The 11,451-nt window shown below is 43.0% G+C and overlaps 1 annotated feature.

Annotated features, from left to right (window-relative positions):
• Positions 1–545: an enhancer, noted in NCBI's record as "H3K27ac-H3K4me1 hESC enhancer chr12:80396803-80397347 (GRCh37/hg19 assembly coordinates)". NCBI's record gives its function as "activates a minimal SCP1, AML or CMV promoter by ChIP-STARR-seq in naive H9 embryonic stem cells {active_cell/tissue: H9 hESC(naive)}" and the evidence as "EXISTENCE:reporter gene assay evidence [ECO:0000049][PMID:30033119]".

Genomic DNA, 11,451 nt, shown 5'->3' with positions numbered 1-11,451 from the left:
ACAGGGTCCCCACTGGGGCACTGCCTAGTGGAGCCTAGTGGCCACCATCCTCCAGACCCCAGAATATCCACTGACAGCTTGCACTGTGCACTTAGAAAAGTTGCAGGCACTCAGTGCCAGCCTGTGAAAGCAGCCACAGGGGCTGTACCCTGCAGAGCAACAGGCGCGGAGCTGCACAAGGCCCTCGGAGCCCACCCCTTGCATCAGCATGCTCTGGATGTGAGACATTGAGTCAAAGGAGATCATTTTAGAGCTTTAAGATTTAAGGACTGCCCTGCTGGGTTTTGGACTTGCATAGGGTCTGTGGCCCCCTTGTTTTGGCACATTTCTCCTTATTTGGAATGGGAACATTTACCCAATTCCTGTACCCCCACTGTATCTTGGAAGTAACTAACTTGCTTTTGAGTTTACAGGCTCATAGGGAGAAGAGACTTGCCTTGTCTCAGATGAGACTTTGGATTTGGACTTTTTTTTTTTTCTTTTGAGACGGAGTCTTGCTCTGTCGCCCAGGCTGGAGTGCAGTGGCGTGATCTCTGCTCGCTGCAAGCTCCGCCTCCTGGGTTCACGCCATTCTCCTGCCTCAGCCTCCCGAGTAGCTGGGACTACAGGCACCCACCACCATGCCCGGCTGATTTTTTGTATTTTTAGTAGAGACAGGATTTCACCATGTTAGCCAGGATGGTTTCCATCTCCTGACCTCGTGATCCGCCCGCCTTGGCCTCCCAAAGTGCTGGGATTACAGGTGTGAGCCACTGTGCCTAGCTGGATTTGGACTTTTAAGTTAATGCTGAAATGAGTTATGGCTTTTCCAAAGTCATGCATGATTGCATGTTTGGTTTTTTTGTTTTTTTTTTTTGAAACGGACTCTCGCACTGTCGCCCACAGACTCTCGCACTGTCGCCCAGGCTGCAGTGCAGTGGTGCGATCTTGGCTCACTGCAAGCTCCGCCTCCCGGGTTCTCGCCATTCTCCTGCCTCAGCCTCCCAAGTAGCTGGGACTACAGGCACCGGCCACCACGCCCGGCTAAATTTTTTTTGTATTTTTTAGTAGAGACGGGGTTTCACCACGTTAGCCAGGATGGTCTCAATCTCCTGACCTCGTGATCCGCCCGCCTCGACCTCCCAAAGTGCTGGGATTACAGGCTTGAGCCACTGCGCCCAGCCACATGATTGGTTTTGAAATGTGAAAAGGACATGAGATTTGGGAGTTGAGAGGGGTGGAATGATATGGTTTGGCTCTGTGTCCCCACCCAAATCTCATCTCACATTTGAATTGTCATTCCCATATTTTGAAGAAGGGACCTGGTGGTAGGTGATTAGATCATGGAGGTGGTTTCCATCATACTATTCTTGTGATAGTGAGATAGTTCTCACGAGATCTGATGGTTTAAAAGTGGCAGTTTCCCTTGAGCTCTCTCTTTCTCTCTTCTCACCTTGTGATGAAGGTACTTGTTTTCCCTTCACCTTGTGCCATTATTGTAAGTTTCCTGAGGCCTCCCCAGCCATGTGGAACTGTGAGTCAATTTAACCTCTTTTGTTTATAAATTACCCAGTCTCAGATAGTATCTTTATAGCAGTGTGAAAATGAATACACCATAATAATTGCAGTGTATTAGTTGGCTTGAAGGACACACATATGCACACACATACATACATACATACATACATACAACCACCACCATTCCTTGGGCTGCTCAAAGGTGCTATTAAATACCAGTAGACTTATGCTCTGTGCATCTGCCCCAACTCCATTTTCAGGGAGGCAGATTGCCAAAACCAGAGAAGAGTGCCCTGCCCACATTCCACACCTTTGTTTTCATTCTGTAACCAGAGATAGAACCAGCTACCTGTAGAATCCCTGCATACCTCAGTTAGAGATTTAATACCTGCTTCCCCTCCCCATCCCAAATTCCCATTGACTCTGGAAAAAGTCCTTCTTGGCTTTACATCTTGCACACCCACACTTAGAAAGTATACTTCTAGCTTAGCACCGGGTGCAGGCCACCAAATGAAAGGACACTACCAGCTGAAGTCTCTGATTCTTACCATTTGCATTTTTTTTTAGACAGGGTGTTGCTCTGTCACTTAGGCTGGAGTGCAGTGGCGCAATCACAGCTCATTGCAGCCTTAACCTCTCTGGGCTTAGGTGATACTCCCACCTCAGCTTCCAGAGTAGCTGGGAATACAGTTGTGCACCACTGTGCCTGGCTAATTTTTGTATTTTTTGTAAAGATGGGGTTTCATTAAGTTGTCCAGACTAGTCTCGAACTCCTGGGTTCAAGGCAACTGCCCACTTTGGCCTCCCAAAGTGCTGGAATTGCAGCTTGGGCCACCACACCTGACTAACATTTGCATGATGTTTTTGTCTATTTTTCAAAAATGATATTTTTGCCTATTTTTTTCTCTTTTCTTAATAGTTTTTGTGAGAAGAGATGCTTTCCTATTAACATGCACTTTGCTTTACTGTTAGCACCTACTGATTGCTTTCTTTAGGCACATCAATGTCTGGAAAGAAATAGATCCATAAGGAATCTTGTTTGGCAAGTTGAACAAGTTAGTTGAGCTTCCGTTTCTATATCTGCAAAAGGGGAAGAGATTTTTACCTCATAGGGTACTGTGGGAATTATAAAGTGAATATGAAATCACTTTGTACACTAAAAGCATCATAAATATATAAATTCAGGTAATAAAATTCTAATTGGATCAGCAATTCAAAGTCTCCTAGTTGGGCATCCTGATTTTGCTAGGTTTCATTTATTACAACTAATATAAACCACATCAAACTAGCTTAAGATAAATGGAGAAATGTTATATAAGAATGCCATGGTGTCTTTAAAAAAAAATGAGCAGAAAAACAGCAGCGCTATGAAAGAGGGCCTTTAGCGGGCCCCAATCTTTCCTGTCCCTATCTACGCCCTTCTCGATGACTCAAGGAGCTGACGCATTTATGAAATTGTGTCCTTCCAGAGTCTACATAGTCCCTTCTACAACATGATGTGGGTACTTGAGGCCCCAGAATTTTCAGGAAGAAAATACCTGAGTTTATTCCCAAGGCCTGCACTAGCCTCTTCCCTGGGTCTGTCTTCCCAAGAGCAGACTGTTCCATCAGTGTGCCCCTCTGGTCCCAAAGCATAGTCAAGGGGCAACTGTATGGGGGGATTGTGGATGGTGCTTGGATAGGATCCTGAGGTGTCCATGTACATGCAGTGTGTGGCCCTTAGTGGTACTTGATGGAAAAGGGAAAAGACCACGTGGCATCTCTCCCCCAAAAGTCACTTTCCATTGTAAAATTCCAAGGGGTCACAGAGTTTCAAATGTTCAAACCTCACCTCCTACGTAGTTATAAAATCTATTTGTCAAGATATAAAGATAGAAAAGATCTTATTTTGAATTGGGTGTGGTGGTTCACGCCTGTAATCCCAGCACTTTGGAAGGCCAAAGGGGTGGATCACCTGAGATAAGGCGTTCAAGACCAGCCTGACCAACATGGTGAAACCATCTCCACAAAAAATACAAAAATTAGCTGGGCATGGTAGCAGGTGCTTGAAGTCCCAGCTACTCAGGAGGCTGAGGCACGAGAATGACTCGAACCCAGGAAGCAGAGGTTGCAGTGAACCGAGATCATGCCACTGCACTCCAGATCATGCCACTGCACTCCAGCCTGGGCGACAGAGTGAGTGAGACCCCGTCTTAAAAAAAAAAAAAAAACTTATTTGTAGTTTGTTTTCTTAATTTATGGCCTTTCAAATATTTAAACACAGTTATGAGAGCCACCATTTGTACTCTTGCTCCTGGTTCGATTAATGTTAGGGATCAGACATCTTTTCTTTTGCAAAGGCAAGCTATGTCCTCAGCTCCAAGATAATAAGCAAAAGGCTCAGTCACAGGTAGAGAACAAATTCCAGTCTCTCAGCCCTGCTGCTAAATTCCTGAAAGAGAATCAGATTGGCTCAGCTTAGGTTGAGAAGGGGAGGAAAGCTCCAATCCTGGGTCCAATCAACTTAGTACTTTGGAAGTGGGTCTTTTCATAGAAATAAGACTATTAGGAGAGGGAGACATTCCTGCTGTAGAATGAGCAGTTCCCAGAGAAATATGGCAGGATAAGAGTCCCTACTGAATATTCAACTCCACAGGTAAAGTAAATGCAAGACTTATTTCTCTTATTTCCATGGGGAAAATTGGTAAAACATAAAAAATCAATATATTCCAGTTAGAAGACAAATTATAACATGCTTTGTTAGTCTTTTATAGTTGGCTTTAACAGGAACAATAAGTACAAACTATAGTGGAGAGGAAATTTCTTCTGCTAAAGAGAAATTAAAGTTTTATTAATATAACACTCAATCCTTATCTTCATATATTTTAAGAATTGATCGGTGTGCTAATACAGGTCTAATAATTTTTTCCTTATTAGAAAATCAAGCTACAGTGTTAATAAAACATTCCATTGACTTGTTCTTCCAAATCTCCACTGTTTAAAAAAAAAAAAAGTAACAAACCTAATAAGGTATACAATGTTCTGTTATAAAACACTTGCCAAGCCTTCTAGCTATAGCAGAATGAATGCAGTTCATAATTGAGAACTCTAACAGTCCTATTTGAAAAATACAAAGATCTGGAAACTAGTATTTGCTTTGGATACAAGAAAAACATGTAGAGTAACACTGTTTCAGCAAGATTATCTCCAAGTGACAGTATCAAATATGGAAGGACTGAGAAAGTTATATTTTCAACTTTTCTGAAAAGGAAAGCCTCATAAAAAGAAGAAAGGCGCACATTGTTGCCATTTCCATGTATGTTTCTTCACCTCAAATAACCTACTGTTACTGTTTATACTTAAACTGAAAGGCCCATCTATTATGCCCAAGTCTGAAGCTTAACCTCCTCTATACTTCATGCAGACAAAACTTCTGCTGATCTCATTTGGCTCCCTAGACAATATACAACCATCCAGGAGTCATCCACAATTCCAAACAAAGGATTATTTGCTCAGGAGCAAACCAAGGGGCCATAATTCCACATCTACAAGGGGCTTATGGGGAGTAATTTAGGTGTAATGGGGAATAGAAATTAGCCGGGTGTGATGGCATGTGCCTGTAGTTCCAGCTATTGGGGAGGCTGAGGCAGGATAATCGCTTGAACCCAGGAGGTGGAGGTTGCAGTGAGCCGAGATTGCACCACTGCACTCCAGCTTGGGCAACAGAGTGAGACTCCGTCTCAAAAAAAAGAAAAAAGAAAGAAAAAAGAAAAAGAAAGAAATGTGCTCTTAAAACATTTTTGCTTGGAATATACAATTAAAGAACATTTAGATACTATGAAGTCCCTCAAACGTTTTAAAGTCTAAATATAAAAATGTTCTCATAAGTCTAACCACTAGTAGCAAAAGAGGCAATTCCAACATATTGTATATATTGATATTTTAAAAATATTATATTACTTAAAGAATGTAAATAATATGGTGATTTAACACTACCATCATTCATTTTTCTAAATGTCAATAAGTTGCTCTTTAATAGTCCCTTTTGCTCCTTGAATTCATGTTTCCTTTTCACTCCCTCACAGAATTGTACGTTAATATATTTTTGTGCTTACACCCTCACATTGATCACCTTCATCATATTTCTTTGCAATAAAACTATGTATATAAATTGAAATTATGTAAATAGGTTTTTCTCTATGATCTCAATGGTCTAAGTGTTTCATTAAAAATCATCTGGTTATTATATGTATTAGCCATAAATCATTGCAAATATCATAAAGTATTGTACATTTACAGTATTATAAGATTGGAGATGGGAGAGAGGTAGTAGACCTTTCGAAGTTTAGTGGGACAAGGGCAATTGTGAAAGGGAAGACAATAAAGAAGTACAATGGCTCTTGACCATGGGGAAATTCTCAGGCAGTTCAATTTTTGAAATAATAAACATGAAAGTTAAAGTTATATGTGTCCAAGTGCTCCCCTGGGAATAATTCTTGTAACCCAAGAATGTGCATATTTTGTTTTGAAGATCTTTGGACTGGCTGAATTTACTTAAGGCTCTATTTGAATAGTAAGAACACTCCTTTTAAATTGTTAGTCCCAGTGGAAAAATTAAAAATTGTAAAAGATGCCTTATTGAACACTTATGAGAATCTGTTTGAAAACATTATTATTTTTATTTGGACTTGCTGGGGAGAGAGCTGGTAGTAAAGAGGAACTGAAACTATCTTCCTGCCACATCTATTCCTCATAGCCACCGCTTGTCATTACTTTCATTTGTACTGCAGAAGCAATTGGTTCTTTCAACCTTCTGGGGGCCCTAAATTGCTCAATGATTAGTCTTCTCTTAGGAAAGTTGTATTCTCTTTCATCTTTGTTTGCAACTGGACTCAATCCATATCTGTTTTGAAAACTTTACTGAAAGAAGTAAAGAAGCAGCCAATACATTCCAACATCTTGAATTTTTTTTAACCTTTTCTTTTAAAGCTATGGCTTCCAAGAGCATTTGGTCTGCTTTCCAAGTTATTGTGGATGACAGCTTTCCAAATATTTTTCCACAGTATAATAAATGTGGACAGCCTTCCAGATGATATTAACTGTGTTCTTGTACCCACTGCCTGGCCACTCAGTCAGTGCCCATTTTTAGGTTACCAAAACCTGTCATTTTTAGGATACAGGTTCACTTGCTATAATAAAACCCCAAAATAACAGTGGTTTAAGCAAAATAGTTTATTTTCATGTAACAATCCAAGTTTAAGCAAAACTTGGCTGGAAGAGCAGCTCCTTGATATTGGGGCCCAGGCTTCTGTCATCTTGTTGTTCTACTGTCCTAAGTAGTTGCCCATGTCAAAAAATGTTCAACACCACATCCACATCCCAGGTAACAGGAAAGAGAAAAGATAAATTGAAGGACATATCTCTCCCTTTTAAAGACATGACCAGGGCCAGGTGTGGTGGCTCACGCCTATAATGCTAGCACTTTGGGAAGCTGAGGTGGGTGGATCACCTGGGGTCAGGAGTTCAAGACAGCCTGGCCAACATGGTGAAACCCCATCTCTACTAAAAATTACAAATATTAGCCAGGCATGGTGGCAAGCACCTGTAATCCCAGCTACTCAGGAGGCTGAGGCAGGAGAATCGCTTGAACCTGGAGGGTGGGGGCTGCAGCAAGCCGAGATGGCACCATTGCACTCTAGCCTAGGAGACAGAGCAAGATTCCATCTCAAAACAAACAAAAAAACAAACAAAAAATGACCAGAAGTTGCATACATTACTTATGTTCATATCCATTCGCAAATGTTTGATCATATAGCCACACCTACCTGCAAGGAAGGCTGAGAAATGTCATTTGGTAGGTGGCCATGTGTCCCAGCTAAAAATTTGACTGACTACATACATGGAAAGGGAGAGGGATTGTATATTGTGGGACAAATAGCTGACTCTATTTGCTACAATGTCTGTCAGACAAAGGTCTAATATCCAGATTCTACAAGGAACTTAAGCAAATTTACAAGAAGAAAACAAGCAACCCCATTGAAAAATAGGCAAATGATATGAACAGACAATTTTCAAAAGAAGACATACATGTGGCCAAGAAACATGTGAAAAAAAGCTCAACATTCCTTATTATTAGAGAAATGCAAATCGAAACCACAATGAGATACCATCTCACACAAGCCAGAATGGCAATTATTAAAAAGTCAAGAAACAACAAATGCTCGAAAAATGCGAGCTTGTGGAAGATTAGGAACGTTTTTACACTGTTGGTGGGAACGTAAATTAGTTCAACCATTGTGAAAGACAGTGTGGCAATTCCTCAAAGATTTAGAACTGGAAATACCATTTGACCCAGCAATCTCATTACTGAGTATATACCCAAAGGAATACAAATCACTCTATTTTAAAGATATATGCACACGTATGTTCCCTGCAGCACTATTCACAATAGCAAAGATGGGGAATCAACCCAAATGCCCATCAATGGTAGACTGGATAAAGAAAATGTGGCACATATACACCATGGAATACTATGCAGCCATAAAAAGGAATGAGATCATGTCCTTTGCAGGGACACAGATGAAGCTGGAAATGATCATCCTCATCAAACTAACACAAGAACAGAAAACCAAACACCGCTTGTTCTCACTTACAAGTGGGAGCTTAACAATGAGAACACATGCACACAGGGAGGGGAACAACACACACGGGGGCTAGTTGGGGGAGGGTGGGGAAGGGGAAGGAGAGCATAAGGAAAAAGAGCTAATCCATGCTGGGCTTAATACCTAGGTGATGGGTTGGTTGATAGGTGCAGCAAACCACCATGGCACACATTTACCTATGTAACAAACCTTCATACCCTGCACGTGTACCCCAGAACTTAAAAATAAAATAAAAAATGCCTGCCAGAAATATTGTATGTTTTACCTATATAATGCCCAAAAAATCATTTGGACTCCTCTAAGTTACTGCAATCACAATAGCTGTCACTTCTTAGGGGCTTGTGATATTATCTGTTCAGTGATATTTCTTTCTGACAAGGCTGAGAATTACTCCTCAAATAATAATTCAGTATAGCGTGAGGTGGTTATATATCATATCAAAAGAACTGCTGAAAGTAGGTAGATCATTGTTCTCTCAAAAGAACCATGACTTGCTTAAAAGGACACTTAAGGAAATATCCATTTTTCTCAAGCTTCTCTTTAAATGACACTGTTATGTCAAGAAAGCCATTTTTCTCCCCCACCTCCTTCCTTTTTTCTTTTCCTCCTGCTTCTCCTTCCTAGATCCGTATCTAACAAACAGTTAAAACGTATCTGATTTGTGCCAGGAACTTTCAAATACTATCCCACTGAAGCCATATAGCAATTACATGAGGCAGAAATGATTATCCCCAATCTACAGATGAGGAAATTGAGACTTAGAGCTTACTGAATAGCTCAAGATCACATCAGTAAGTTATACAACTACAATCCGATTCCAATTGTATTTCCCCACTACACCATGGTAGTGGCTTGTTAAAAACTTCCAGGGAGCCCTACATCTCTGTTCCAGCCTAAAACAGGTGATGTGTGTGATGAAGTAGCTTTCTGTGGGAGTGTCAAACATTGCAATCCAATAGATCAAGAAATGACAAAGTGTAGCAGGTGTGAAGAGTAATTGTAGACCATATGGCAGGTACTGCTTGCTGTCATTCAATATGGATGCATTCCTTCTTCCTTAGTACCAGAACCTCTGATTTAGCTGGGCACAAAGCTGACCAACTCATTTGCACCTATACAGGACCAGTATAAGCAGAATTTTTCTGTACATCATATATAATAGAAAGTATTCTTAAGGGAAAGAGGCATGATCTCCTATTTATGAAAGTTGGAATGTAAACATGATTTTGGAACATGTTATGGGTTAAATTGTTACAACCTCCTCCTTCCCCACAAAAAAAGCTGAAATCGTAATCCCCAGTACCTGTGAATGTTACCTTATTTGAAAACAGGTCTTTATAGGTTTAACCAAGTTAAGAATAGGTCATTATATTTCCAGAAGAAGAAATATAAGAAGAGGAAAATTGAAACACACAGGGAGAATGCCATGTGAAGACACAAAGACAGGCACAGAGGGCAGATGATGTGGAGAGACACAGACAGAACAAAGTCATGTGATGACAGAGACAGAAATAAAAGCAATGGATCTGCCAGCCAAGGAAATCAAGGAATGCCAGCAAAGAGCATAAGCTAGAAGAGGCAAAGTAGCAGCATCTCCCACATTCTTCAGAGAAAACCTTGGTGATGGCAAGGCCTTACTGAGAGGTGACACTGTGCTGGCAGCCCTCCCTCGCTCTCGGTGCCTCCTCGGCCTCAGCGCCCATTCTGGCTGTGCTTGAGGAGTCCTTCAGCCCGCCACTGCACCGTGGGAGCCCTTCTCTGGGCTGGCAGAGGCCGGAGCCGGCTCCCTGGACTTGCAGGCAGGTGTGGAAGGAGAAGCACAGGCGGGAACCCGGGCGGGAACCAGGACTGCAGCGGTGCTTGCGGGCCAGCTAGAGTTCCGGGTGGGCGTGGGCTTGGCGGGCCCAGCACTCGGAGCGGCCGGCGGGCCCTGCCGGCCCCAGGCAATGAGGGGCTTAGCACCCGGGCCAGCAGCTGCGGAGGGGGCGCCGGGTCCCCCAGCAGTACTGGCCCACCGGCGCTGCACTCAATTTCTCGCTGGGCCTTAGCTGCCTCCCGGCGGGGAACGGCTCTGTACCTGCAGCCCTGCCTGAATCTCCCCCCTCTCCCCGCCGTGGGCTCCTGCGCCGCCTGAGCCTCCCCGACAAGCGCCGCCCCCTGCTCCACGGCATCCGGTGCCATCGACCACCCAAGGGCTGAGGAGTGTGGCCGCATGGTGCGGGACTGGCAGGCAGCTCCCCACCTGTGACCCCTGTGCAGGATCCACTGGGTGAAGCCAGCTGGGCTCCTGAGTCTAGTGGGGACTTGGAGAACCTTTATGTCTAGCTAGGGGATTGTAAATACACCAATCAGCACCCTGTCAAAACGGACAAATCCGCTCTCTGTAAAACAGACCAATGAGCTCTCTGTAAAATGGGCCAATCAGCAGGATGGGGGGGGGGGGGCGGTGCCAGATGAGAGAATAAAAGCAGGCTGCTGGAGCCAGCAGTGGCAACCCTTGGGTCTCCTTCCTCTGGGTGGGAGCTTTGTTCTTTCGCACTTTGCAATAAATCTTGTTGCTGCTTGCTTTCTGGGTCCACCCTGACTTTATGAGCGGTAACACTCACTGCAAAGGTCTGAAGCTTCAGCTTGACTCCTGAAGCCAGGGAGACCACAAACCCACCGGGAAGAAAGAACAACTCCTAGAGGCCCCGCCTTAAGAGCTGTAACGCTCACTGCGAAGGTTTGCAGCTTCACTCCTGAGCCAGGGAGACCATGAACCCACCAGCAGGAAGAAACTCCCAACACACCCGAACATCAGAAGGAACAAACTCCGGACAGGCCGTCTTTAAGAACTGTAACACTCACCGCGAGGGTACGTGGCTTCATTCTTGAAGTCAGTGAGACCAAGAATCCACCAATTCCGGACACATTACCATTGAACTTTCAGCCTCCAGAGCTACGATAACAAATTTCTGTTATTTTAAACCACCTAGCTTGTAGCACTGTATTTATTTAGAGTCAGAGTCTCACTCTGTCACTCAGGCTGGAGTACAGTGGCGTGATCATAGCTCACTGCAGCCTCAGTCTCCCAGGCTCAACTGATCCTCCCACCTCAGCCTCCTGAGTAGCTGGGAGTACAGGTGTGCACCATCATGCCTGGCTAAAGGTATACATATTTAACATATATATTATATAGTATATATTATATATCATTTAATACATAATATATATTACATATAATCATATAGTATATATAAATATATGTTTATATTTTTAAAAAAAATAGAGATGGGTCTCACTATGTTGACCAGATGGGTCTCAAACTCCTGAC

This window comes from Homo sapiens, chromosome 12, assembly GCF_000001405.40.
Source record: "Homo sapiens chromosome 12, GRCh38.p14 Primary Assembly".
NCBI classification, from domain to species: domain Eukaryota; kingdom Metazoa; phylum Chordata; class Mammalia; order Primates; family Hominidae; genus Homo; species Homo sapiens.
The sequence above is the reverse complement of the archived record's forward strand: the minus strand, read 5'-3'. Positions and strand labels throughout refer to the sequence as shown.